The 12,272-nt window shown below is 62.4% G+C and overlaps 1 protein-coding gene and 1 non-coding gene across 3 annotated transcripts; both read left to right on the forward strand.

Annotated features, from left to right (window-relative positions):
• AEBP1 (AE binding protein 1) lies at window positions 2,034-12,249 on the forward strand. Of its 2 annotated transcripts, NM_001129.5 has the most exons (21): window positions 2,034-2,607; window positions 4,235-4,576; window positions 5,128-5,199; window positions 5,318-5,389; window positions 5,498-5,620; window positions 5,696-5,773; window positions 6,588-6,665; window positions 6,796-6,873; window positions 6,977-7,030; window positions 7,704-7,813; window positions 7,896-8,035; window positions 8,414-8,498; window positions 8,602-8,746; window positions 8,843-8,928; window positions 9,196-9,319; window positions 9,543-9,739; window positions 9,831-10,010; window positions 10,247-10,598; window positions 10,680-10,819; window positions 10,941-11,040; window positions 11,283-12,249. In NM_001129.5, exons 1-21 carry the CDS (start codon window positions 2,355-2,357, stop codon window positions 11,948-11,950), a joined length of 3,477 nt encoding a protein of 1,158 aa, NP_001120.3. In that variant the 5' UTR covers window positions 2,034-2,354; the 3' UTR covers window positions 11,951-12,249. The 2 variants fall into 2 exon arrangements, with proteins under 2 accessions (NP_001120.3, XP_011513464.1); XM_011515162.2 differs by lacking the exon at window positions 6,588-6,665.
• On the forward strand, window positions 8,538-8,601 carry MIR4649 (microRNA 4649). The gene has a single exon (NR_039792.2). It is a non-coding gene; the product is annotated as a microRNA 4649 (primary transcript).

Raw genomic sequence — 12,272 nt, forward strand, 5'->3', positions numbered from 1 at the left:
CGCTGTGACTGAAGAAAAGCCTCCTTCTGTTCCTTTTTTGTTTTCTTATGGCTTCTATTTTCCCTGGCAGAGGATGTTGGACCCAAATCCAATCCATGTGTGAGTTGTTCCCAGGGAAGTGACGTGCCACGCTGCTTCACCCCAGCCTTGGGCCGCCGGGCTTGACATGCTCAACTGGGGCAACGGAGCAAATTCCCAGAACAAGTTTTGAGAAAGATGATTCAGAGCTTTGCAGAGGATGAGGAAAGGGGAGAGCTTGCGGATCCTTGCTGCCACCAGGACTGGCCTGGGGGCACGTGGCAGGCAGAGGCAGGCTCAGGTGCACAGGGAGCCTGGGTGTTGGGGCTCAGGGTCTGCTCTGAGCGCCCCAGTGGGCACAGCTCAGGTTGATCTCTGAGGGCAAATGATGAGAGCTAAAAGGCAGCAGTGTGAGTGCCAAGAATGTGTGCTAGGCACAGCACATGCATGATCCTGTATGAACGACAAGGAGAACAGGGACACAGGTGGACGGCACTGAGGCTACCTGCCGAGATGTGGTGCCTGGGAGGTAGAGCCAGAACCTGACACAGTCCCACTGCTTTTTCAAGGAGATGCAGTGAGAAAGCAAAGGCAGGGTCTTGGCAGGACCAGGTGTGAGAGGAGGCAAGGCCTCCTTGTGGTCCTGCTCCCAGGGGGTGGCATGTATCCCAGGCCCAGCAGCCTCCACTGTGGCCTCCCCGGCTGCTGCCTGCTCCAACTCACTCGGGGCTGCTCTGGGGACCCAGGTGCTTCCTGACCCACTTTTCCTCTTTCCTTTTGACCCCAGGTCCAAACTCTGCCCTGTCAATCATCCCAGGGGCTCCTAGGCTTCCCTACCTGACTACTTCACTGGGGCCAAACCCCGCAGACAATCGTGGCTTAGGGCTGTCTGCCTCTGCACTTGGCCCATGGACTACCTGTGAGCTTTCTCTTGTGTCCTCATTCCTTTAAGGGGGAATGTCCTCGGAGCTCTGTCCTTAGCTCCCCATTCCTCCAGTATGAGACAGGGACTAGGCTTGAGTCACGGGGGACTGTGCTGTGTCACGCCCTGCCATACTAATGGGACCACTCTGCCTGTTGATGGCCGTTGTAGGGCAGCCAACATTTGCCCTGGAGAAGCCTTATGGCAAACACCAGGCACCAAGGTGCACATCCCTGATGGATCCTGGGATCAGTTGACACTCAATCCACCTGCCTTCTGGGTCCTCTGGGCCCTCTGGGTCCATGTGGCAGCTGGAGGTATGGTAGACACTTTTTAAAAAATGAGTTCTGGTAAGAAGAAGGTGATAAATGGCTATTTGTCCACGTTGGGACCCGGAGGGGAGGGATGGCATGCCCTTACATGGGACTCCTACCCCCAGCGGGGCAGCTGGCCACTCTGAGGGCAGTTTTGCACCTGCCTCCTGGCTGGAAAGTGAGTTCCCACTGTGCTGTCCCTCCCTGGGGCCCAGCACGGGGCCCGGCCCCACACCGACCTGAAGAGGTTGGTAGGATGACTGAATGAATTGACGCTGGGATGCAGCAGGGCCCATGGGCAGAGGCTCCAGAGCCTGGGAAGGATGGGGTGGCCTTTCTGTGGCCCTCCGAATTGAGAGAGGTCTCAGAGGCCTGACACCACGGCTTTCCGTCCAGGGTTCCTGGTCACCCGCGGAGGGCTCAGAGCCCCGGTGGACTCGGGGTCCCGCCTTAAGGGGGGTGCCTAGGGCAGAAGGAGGAGGGATGTCGGCCCCCTCAGACCCGCACCCCAGGCCCTCCCCACCACCTTTCCTTCCCTCAGGCCCTCTGTCTTCCCAGTCGCCCCGCCCCCTGCCCCTCTGTCCTAGGCGCAAGTCTCCGGGCTTGGGACGCTCGCCGCCAGCGCCCGCCCGCCTGCCCCGCCCCTAGCCCCCCGCCCCCCGCCCCCCGCCCCCCCGCAGCCCCTCCGTCCACTCTCGGCTCCTCCTTCTCTTCCTCCTCCTCCTCCCCGGGGGTGGGGAGCCGGCTCCGGAAGCCCCGGCGCCCCCGCCCCGGGCCCCGCCAGCGCTTTGGAGACGGCTATCCGCGCGGGAGTGCGCCACGCGGGGCCGGAGCGCCTATTAGCCGCCAGGACCTCGGAGCGCCCCGACCACCCCTGAGCCCCTCTGGCTTCGGAGCCCCCCAGCACCCCTTCCCGGGTCCCCTCGCCCACCCTAATCCACTCTCCCTCCCTTTCCCGGATTCCCTCGCTCACCCCATCCTCTCTCCCGCCCCTTCCTGGATTCCCTCACCCGTCTCGATCCCCTCTCCGCCCTTTCCCAGAGACCCAGAGCCCCTGACCCCCCGCGCCCTCCCCGGAGCCCCCCGCGCGTGCCGCGGCCATGGCGGCCGTGCGCGGGGCGCCCCTGCTCAGCTGCCTCCTGGCGTTGCTGGCCCTGTGCCCTGGAGGGCGCCCGCAGACGGTGCTGACCGACGACGAGATCGAGGAGTTCCTCGAGGGCTTCCTGTCAGAGCTAGAACCTGAGCCCCGGGAGGACGACGTGGAGGCCCCGCCGCCTCCCGAGCCCACCCCGCGGGTCCGAAAAGCCCAGGCGGGGGGCAAGCCAGGGAAGCGGCCAGGGACGGCCGCAGAAGGTAAGAGCCCAGGGCAGGGCGGGGGTGTGGGGGGCTGGCATCTCAGGTGGGAACAGGGGGATTCGGTAGGGTCTGGCCACTCCCCAGTCTGCTAGGGGAGGAATGGCTGGCTTACTAATGCGCACGCGAGCCCAGATGCCTGGAGGGACCCTGTGCTAGGCCGAGGTCAGCGCTGGCGTGGAGGCACATCCAGCACCCGGGCGGCAGGGCCGCTTTTGGGGGCCGGTGGCTCTAGGGTTGGTGCTGTGGTTGTACGGGTCGCTTATCCCCATTCCTCCAGTACGCGACAGGTACTAGGCTTGAGCCACAGGGGACTGTGCTGTGTCACCCCCTGCCATACTAATGGGACCACTCTCCCTGTTGGTGGCACAGCTTCACGTCGTCCCTCCCTCCTGCCTTTGCCCTCCTACTCCAGGAGGTCTCACGTAGGTGAGAGAGTTTCAGGTGGTGGTGAGCACAGGGCTTCAGGTGGTGGTGAGCAATGGGTGGTCCTACATTAGTACAGGAAATTAGATGAGGTGATGCATCACTGAAGCATTTAACCCACGGCCTCTTGCATAATCAGTTGTCAGTAAATCTTAGCTGTTTTCATCGTGGCCCTCTGGAAGGTGGCAGAGGGTCTTGTGATCCCTGTCTCCCAGGAGATTCCAAGGCACCATCCAACATTCCTGATGTCAGCAGCCCCTCCCCTGCCACCCCAGCTCTAGATCTTTCCTGGCTGCTTCCCACACCCTGGGCTGCCTGTGCCCCTCCTGCCTCTGGCTCTCCTTCCAGGCTTGCTCTCCTGGCTCTGGGGCACCGCTCTAGCAGCCCTGCGTCCCCTGGCTGTCTGCATTTGGTAGCTTTCCTGTGTTTCTGCCAAACTTCCCTCATGCTCCCCACCTCTCATCAGGTTCTCAACAGCACTTGCAGCTCCTGCTTAGGGTCCTGGGAGGATTCCCATGGGGAATCCTCACAACCAGTCCCTGCTCCCTCTCCCAGACTCTGAAATGAGTGTGCAGCCACAAGCTCCCTACCTGTCTTTTCTGTCCTCTGTGTGATCCCTGAACCCCCCAGGACTCCCTATCCTTCCAATCAATTCCAAACCCCTTACTTCTCGAAAGGAGACCACTTCCTCTTCTTTGGGCTTCAATACTCAACCAAGTGTCCCTTTTCTTTGAAGCTTTTCTTGCCCCGTAGGAGACCAGGGGAAGGTCTTGGGCCCATGTCCCTTCCTTTGTATGGCAGTTGGCAGGGATGACCAGATGCTCCTCCAGGCCTGGATGGCTCAGTCACCTCTCTGCCCCTTCTGTGCCCAGAACAGAATAGTGGAGGAGTGGATAGTAAGGAACCCCTATTGAGGTTTTGGCAGGTGGGGGGATGAGGGCCTCCCCCTGGGAACTGGGAACCCTACGCTCAGTCTTTAGAGAGGTTGAGATTGGTGGTCACAGCCCCAGACTTGCAGACAGAAAATCTGGGTCCGGATCCCAGTTTGCCACTTGGGCAAATGACTTAACCTCTCAGTTTGCTGATCCGCACTGGGAACTGACAAGAGTCCCTGTGCCCAGGTTCTGGGCATCTAGAGAGGGGCCTCATGGGGGCACAGAGCTGGCTCTGTTCATTTGACACGAGTCTGCATCTTGGACAGTGCCTCCGGAAAAGACCAAAGACAAAGGGAAGAAAGGCAAGAAAGACAAAGGCCCCAAGGTGCCCAAGGAGTCCTTGGAGGGGTCCCCCAGGCCGCCCAAGAAGGGGAAGGAGAAGCCACCCAAGGCCACCAAGAAGCCCAAGGAGAAGCCACCTAAGGCCACCAAGAAGCCCAAGGAGAAGCCACCCAAGGCCACCAAGAAGCCCAAAGAGAAGCCACCCAAGGCCACCAAGAAGCCCCCGTCAGGGAAGAGGCCCCCCATTCTGGCTCCCTCAGAAACCCTGGAGTGGCCACTGCCCCCACCCCCCAGCCCTGGCCCCGAGGAGCTACCCCAGGAGGGAGGTTTGTGCCGGGCTCCTCTGGGGTGATGGGGCTCTGACTGCCTGCTCGGGTGGAGGCAGGGAGTGGGAGGCAGGTTTCTGGGGCCCTGCTTCCTATAGACCTTCAGCTCCCCACTGGATGGGAACCTCACTTTTGCTATAAATTTCACAATTTGATTGGTGGGCTCCCTCAGTGCTGTAGCCTCTTTTGGGTAGGGAGAGGGCTTGGCAGCCTTTTGGGTGGGACCTCTGTCCCTCAGGCCCCTGCCCAGATGTCCCTGGGCTCTGAGCCCATGGAGTTCCCTCCTGCCTTCTCCCGCTGGGGACAGCTTTGTGGTAGGGCCTCCAGCAGCACAGTAGGTTCCCCAGAAGGTGGGCCCAGCTCTCTGGCCCCATGAGATGCCAGCAGGATGCTGAAGGCCAGAGGAGCTCAGGCCTCCTTGGAGTGAGCTCGGCCTCAGGAGGGTGTCCACAGGCTCTGTGTGGGCTCTATGGGTGGCTGGTGGCCTGAGGCTCCCAAGGTGGTCAGAGCAGGCCTCCCGCCCACCTGCTTCTGGAACTCCTGTGTTGCAGGGGCGCCCCTCTCAAATAACTGGCAGAATCCAGGAGAGGAGACCCATGTGGAGGCACGGGAGCACCAGCCTGGTGAGTGGCCGTCATCCGCCTGGCCTTGGGGCCAGCTGCCCTGGCTGGTTGGACTGAGGGCTTCCCCAGAGTAGGCCTGGGTGGGGTTGTCAGGCAGCTACCAGCGCTTTCCCCTCAGAGCCGGAGGAGGAGACCGAGCAACCCACACTGGACTACAATGACCAGATCGAGAGGGAGGACTATGAGGACTGTGAGTAGGGTCCTGCCAGCCCCACCTGGGTCGGACCCCTGGCCTGGGGGATGTGCCAATGGGCCCATCCCAGCCTTGGGCCCCACTCTGAGCCAGCCTCCCCCTCAGTTGAGTACATTCGGCGCCAGAAGCAACCCAGGCCACCCCCAAGCAGAAGGAGGAGGCCCGAGCGGGTCTGGCCAGAGCCCCCTGAGGAGAAGGCCCCGGCCCCAGCCCCGGAGGAGAGGATTGGTAGGATGGGGGGCAGGAGAGGAGGTGCCATGGCCACGGCGCTCTGGCCCCCTCCTAACCTCCCCGCCTCCCCAGAGCCTCCTGTGAAGCCTCTGCTGCCCCCGCTGCCCCCTGACTATGGTGATGGTTACGTGATCCCCAACTACGATGACAGTGAGTACCCAGCACCCCAGAGTCTGAGGGACATAGGCAGGTGGGGGTCGGGGCTGGGGTGTGGTCAGGAGCCAGCTGGGGCAACTCACCCACCTTGCAACCCCACCTGTGCCCGTGGTTACCTCGCTGTCCCTGCTGTCCCTGCGTGCCCACCCCAGCCACTGCCCTGTCTCCTCTGCCCTCAGGCTGGTCTTTCCTTGGCCGCTTCCCTGGTTCCTGCTTGGCTGTGACCCCCACAGGGGTGTCCCTAGGCACACACTCTGCCCTGTCACCCATGTGGGTTCCAGCCCTCCCAGTCCTGTGCTCTAACTGGCTTCCCGCTGGCTCGTGGCCACTGCCCCACTCTCTTCAGGGAGCCCGAGGGCTTTTGCCTCCCTGTTGCTCATGCCCCTGCGTCCCTGGAGCCCTCAGGTTCCCTTTCCTCCTGGGTGGCAGCCCGTGCATCGCCATTTCCCTGCCCCCAGGTCCCCATCAGTGCCTCCAATGTCTCCCCATCTCACCCCCCAGCCCGCAACCCCAGGCACAGGTGCCAGTTGTCCCTCCAGGCCTTTCCCATGCCCTGGGCCTCGAGTCCTTTCCCCAGGCCAGATGCTCCTGGAAGGCCGGGCTGGTGACTTCAGCAGGGTCTTGCTCAGCTGCCCCTGAGCTCGGGCTGCTCCTGACTCCTGCAAGACCCTCTCCCAACTCAGCTGTCCCCCATCTCCCGTCCTCCTCCCCTCTGGCGCGGTCCTGTCCTGCTGAGCTCCTGTGGACCCAGGAGCTGAGGCCCCGCAGCAGGGTCAGGGCAGCCTCAGCTGGCTCTCCCTCCCCATAGTGGACTATTACTTTGGGCCTCCTCCGCCCCAGAAGCCCGATGCTGAGCGCCAGACAGACGAAGAGAAGGAGGAGCTGAGTGAGTGGGACCAAGGACTTCCCACACCAGGCCTGCCCTGAAGGCCACCTGGGGCCTGCCTGATCCACCCCACATGGTCCTCAAAGCCCAGAGCCAGGCTGACTGGCCCCTCCTACCTTGCACCTTCCAGAGAAACCCAAAAAGGAGGACAGCAGCCCCAAGGAGGAGACCGACAAGTGGGCAGTGGAGAAGGGCAAGGACCACAAAGGTGTGTGGCTGGGGCTTGGGGCCTGGGTCCCTGTGGGGCAGCATCTGGACTCCTGATTGCCTCCCGGGCCCTTGGTGCCATGTCCTCCCTTCATTGTCCCTAGAGCCCCGAAAGGGCGAGGAGTTGGAGGAGGAGTGGACGCCTACGGAGAAAGTCAGTAAGTGGGGGGCACAAGGGGGTGAGGGTGGGGGCCACAGGATGGGGGTGCTGGGACAAGTGACTGGCCCAATGTCACAAACAGGACCCAGGTCCCCGGAACCCTTTCCTACTCAGATTCTTGGGACCCAGAAGGGAGGGGCCCCGGGAGCCCAGGATAGCCTCGCTTGGCTGCCCCAGCCCTGGACCCCAGGCTGGCCTGCTTCAGGAGGGTGGCAGCTCCCCAGGGCCCCTAGTGGCTGGGCGTGGTAGGGGGAGGACCTGGGGCCTTGGTGGGGAGTGAGGACCTCAGGTACCTTCACAGGTATCCCTGCAGGGCCATTGTGCAGACGGTCCCCATCTGGATGACATCTGTGGCTGCGCCCTGGGGGAGCTCTACCTGTGATTTCACGTGTGTCCCCTGAGAGCTGGGCATGGTCAGCCCGTTCTCCAGATGGGGCAGCTGAGGCCCAGGGAGGGGAAGCACAGGCTGGGATTGGAAACAGCTCCTGGCCTGGCTTTGAGTCGATTCCAGGTGGGCTGGTGCAGGGCACCAGGGAGCCACCAGCTGACCAGAGCTGCCCTCTGACTGTGCCCCCGATGTGCCGGGAGTGGGCTCTGGGCTCCTTGGTTCTGGGTTTGGTGGAGGGAAGGATGGAGCTAGTGAGCCACCATTCTGGGGTACGCGTCCTCAGAGTGTCCCCCCATTGGGATGGAGTCACACCGTATTGAGGACAACCAGATCCGAGCCTCCTCCATGCTGCGCCACGGCCTGGGGGCACAGCGCGGCCGGCTCAACATGCAGGTGGGCATTGGGATGGGCCCATCTCCCAACTGGGATAAGGGACTCCTCCGCCCATGCTCAGCCTCCCCTGCCCCCTGGACAGACCGGTGCCACTGAGGACGACTACTATGATGGTGCGTGGTGTGCCGAGGACGATGCCAGGACCCAGTGGATAGAGGTGGACACCAGGAGGACTACCCGGTTCACAGGCGTCATCACCCAGGGCAGAGACTCCAGCATCCAGTGCGTGGCCAGGCTCATGGATAGTTGGCAGAGGGGAGTGGCTACATAGGCATGGCTCTGTGTCCCATTAAGGAGATTCCAGTGGGCCCTTCTTTGGCCCAGCCAAAGAAGGCCAAAAAGATCAGTGAGGGACTCACCCTGCCCATCCCCACTCCTCAGCCTGGTCAGTCAGCCCCTGTGTCCTGATAGCACATGAGTTTAGGGACAGATCACCTGCCCATGGCTATGTGACGGGCATAGGACCCAGGCTCAACACCTGGGCCGTGCAGCACCACCCTGCTAGCTCTTAAATTCTTGGGGCTCGGAAGAGGGAGGCTCAGGCCACCTGAGGGCCTGGGAGGGGGAAGACCCTTGCTCTGACCACTGTCCACTCCACAGTGACGATTTTGTGACCACCTTCTTCGTGGGCTTCAGCAATGACAGCCAGACATGGGTGATGTACACCAACGGCTATGAGGAAATGGTGGGCACCATGCCCAGGCTCTTGGCTCTGCTCCCATTGTCTGGGCGAGGGGTGGGCTCTCAGAGGGGCTGGCAGTACTGCTCTGAGGCCTGCCTCTCCCCAGACCTTTCATGGGAACGTGGACAAGGACACACCCGTGCTGAGTGAGCTCCCAGAGCCGGTGGTGGCTCGTTTCATCCGCATCTACCCACTCACCTGGAATGGCAGCCTGTGCATGCGCCTGGAGGTGCTGGGGTGCTCTGTGGCCCGTGAGTGTGGAGGGCTGGCAGGGGCTCTGAGTGGAGGTGGGGTGCTAGGGTGGGCCAGCCGGCACCCAGCTAAAGACAACCCCGCCTCCCTTGCAGCTGTCTACAGCTACTACGCACAGAATGAGGTGGTGGCCACCGATGACCTGGATTTCCGGCACCACAGCTACAAGGACATGCGCCAGGTTGGGAGCATATATCCTGGGGCTGGGGGTGGGACCTGTCTGTGGCTGACGGGAGTGTGTGCCTGGTGCTTCTGTCACTGGGCCCAGTCCCTACTGGTTCCAGGGATGCTGGCTGTCCCTCACCTTAGGAAGGAGGCCAGTACCTGGGGGCTGCGTGAAGGGGTCATGCCCGTCCCTCGCCATAGAGCAGGCCCTGGAAGTGGAAGGGGCATGGTCAGCGGGGGACGGATTGCATGATTGATTCCACGTCCTCCCCCTCTGCCCCAGCTCATGAAGGTGGTGAACGAGGAGTGCCCCACCATCACCCGCACTTACAGCCTGGGCAAGAGCTCACGAGGCCTCAAGATCTATGCCATGGAGATCTCAGACAACCCTGGGGAGCATGAACTGGGTGAGGGTCTGTGGGGGCCAGCAGCTGGCCTCTGCTGCTGATGTGCAGAGCTCACTGCCTCCCGCCTGTTCCGGAGCCTCTCTGGGGATTCTGGCTTGTCTTACAGGGCCCTAGGAGCCCCAGCTGTCCCCCAGACCCTCGGGTATGAGGTGGGTCTGGGTCCTTCCTCAGCTGCCCTGGGCCTCGGGAGACTGAGTGCTCACTGAGGCTCCCGCCCTTGCAGGGGAGCCCGAGTTCCGCTACACTGCTGGGATCCATGGCAACGAGGTGCTGGGCCGAGAGCTGTTGCTGCTGCTCATGCAGTACCTGTGCCGAGAGTACCGCGATGGGAACCCACGTGTGCGCAGCCTGGTGCAGGACACACGCATCCACCTGGTGCCCTCACTGAACCCTGATGGCTACGAGGTGGCAGCGCAGATGGTGGGTTGAAGGGTGAGGCTGGCCAGGGTCCAGGCAGCTGGGGGTTGTGGGGGTGTGGGTAGCCGATGCCTACCCTGCTGGCTCCCCACAGGGCTCAGAGTTTGGGAACTGGGCGCTGGGACTGTGGACTGAGGAGGGCTTTGACATCTTTGAAGATTTCCCGGATCTCAACTCTGTGCTCTGGGGAGCTGAGGAGAGGAAATGGGTCCCCTACCGGGTCCCCAACAATAACTTGCCCATCCCTGAACGCTACCTTTCGCCAGATGCCACGGTGAGGCTACAGCCTGGCTGAAAGGGCAGGAGGGAGCAGCTGGACCCTGGGGTCCTGGTGTTCTGGGCTTGGGGGTGGGGCTGACGGTGCCTGAACTCCAGACGCTGAGGCTCTGGGGGTTGGGGGACAGGGGATCGTGCGAGTACTGGTGTGAAGCTTCATGGAGGGTGATCGGGCTAGGTTGGGGATAGTGGCCGGAGCTGCAGCCCTGGCCTCACACGTGCTGGCCACTCCAGGTATCCACGGAGGTCCGGGCCATCATTGCCTGGATGGAGAAGAACCCCTTCGTGCTGGGAGCAAATCTGAACGGCGGCGAGCGGCTAGTATCCTACCCCTACGATATGGCCCGCACGCCTACCCAGGAGCAGCTGCTGGCCGCAGCCATGGCAGCAGCCCGGGGGGAGGATGAGGACGAGGTCTCCGAGGCCCAGGAGACTCCAGACCACGCCATCTTCCGGTGGCTTGCCATCTCCTTCGCCTCCGCACACCTCACCTTGACCGAGCCCTACCGCGGAGGCTGCCAAGCCCAGGACTACACCGGCGGCATGGGCATCGTCAACGGGGCCAAGTGGAACCCCCGGACCGGGAGTGAGTCAGCCTGGGAGGGGCTGTGGGCGGGGCCTGGTCCGGAGAGGGGCTGACTTTGGGTCTGTATCTGTCCCCGGCCAGCTATCAATGACTTCAGTTACCTGCATACCAACTGCCTGGAGCTCTCCTTCTACCTGGGCTGTGACAAGTTCCCTCATGAGAGTGAGCTGCCCCGCGAGTGGGAGAACAACAAGGAGGCGCTGCTCACCTTCATGGAGCAGGTGGGGTGGCTAGGGCAATGCCTGGGGAGAGGAGGCTGCACAGGCTCCTGGATGGGCGGGAGGGAGCAGCGGACCACATTGGACCTTCCTGAGGACCAGCAGCCCTCACCTGCTTCCCTAGGTGCACCGCGGCATTAAGGGGGTGGTGACGGACGAGCAAGGCATCCCCATTGCCAACGCCACCATCTCTGTGAGTGGCATTAATCACGGCGTGAAGACAGGTACCTAGTGTGCACACCTTTACCCCATCTTTCTGAGGGAGGACCCGCCAGAGAGGGTGGGGGCTTGAGGAACTCAGCGAGCAGGTAGAGTCTGGGGAGCCTGGGGGCGAAATTCAGAGAGGGAGGGCGGTGCTGGGGGCGGGAACTCAGAGGGGGAGGGCGGGGCTGGGGGCAGGACTGAGTGGGAGGGTGGGGGCCTGGGAGGGGCGCTCTGGGGCAGCCGGATCGTTCTCCCTCCGCAGCCAGTGGTGGTGATTACTGGCGAATCTTGAACCCGGGTGAGTACCGCGTGACAGCCCACGCGGAGGGCTACACCCCGAGCGCCAAGACCTGCAATGTTGACTATGACATCGGGGCCACTCAGTGCAACTTCATCCTGGCTCGCTCCAACTGGAAGCGCATCCGGGAGATCATGGCCATGAACGGGAACCGGCCTATCCCACACATAGACCCATCGCGCCCTATGACCCCCCAACAGCGACGCCTGCAGCAGCGACGCCTACAACACCGCCTGCGGCTTCGGGCACAGATGCGGCTGCGGCGCCTCAACGCCACCACCACCCTAGGCCCCCACACTGTGCCTCCCACGCTGCCCCCTGCCCCTGCCACCACCCTGAGCACTACCATAGAGCCCTGGGGCCTCATACCGCCAACCACCGCTGGCTGGGAGGAGTCGGAGACTGAGACCTACACAGAGGTGGTGACAGAGTTTGGGACCGAGGTGGAGCCCGAGTTTGGGACCAAGGTGGAGCCCGAGTTTGAGACCCAGTTGGAGCCTGAGTTTGAGACCCAGCTGGAACCCGAGTTTGAGGAAGAGGAGGAGGAGGAGAAAGAGGAGGAGATAGCCACTGGCCAGGCATTCCCCTTCACAACAGTAGAGACCTACACAGTGAACTTTGGGGACTTCTGAGATCAGCGTCCTACCAAGACCCCAGCCCAACTCAAGCTACAGCAGCAGCACTTCCCAAGCCTGCTGACCACAGTCACATCACCCATCAGCACATGGAAGGCCCCTGGTATGGACACTGAAAGGAAGGGCTGGTCCTGCCCCTTTGAGGGGGTGCAAACATGACTGGGACCTAAGAGCCAGAGGCTGTGTAGAGGCTCCTGCTCCACCTGCCAGTCTCGTAAGAGATGGGGTTGCTGCAGTGTTGGAGTAGGGGCAGAGGGAGGGAGCCAAGGTCACTCCAATAAAACAAGCTCATGGCACGGACTGCTCACATTCTGAGGTG

This window comes from Homo sapiens, chromosome 7 (genome assembly GCF_000001405.40).
Source record: "Homo sapiens chromosome 7, GRCh38.p14 Primary Assembly".
Taxonomy (NCBI): domain Eukaryota; kingdom Metazoa; phylum Chordata; class Mammalia; order Primates; family Hominidae; genus Homo; species Homo sapiens.

Bases quoted from the DNA above. Each gene is read 5' to 3' on its own strand.
- AEBP1 (NM_001129.5), top strand. From the start codon at position 2,355: ATGGCGGCCGTGCGCGGGGCGCCCCTGCTCAGCTGCCTCCTGGCGTTG. The intron at 6,874-6,976 runs GTGTGTGGCTGG...CATTGTCCCTAG, and splicing joins GAAGGGCAAGGACCACAAAG to AGCCCCGAAAGGGCGAGGAG. The intron at 10,820-10,940 runs GTGGGGTGGCTA...CTGCTTCCCTAG, and splicing joins TGCTCACCTTCATGGAGCAG to GTGCACCGCGGCATTAAGGG.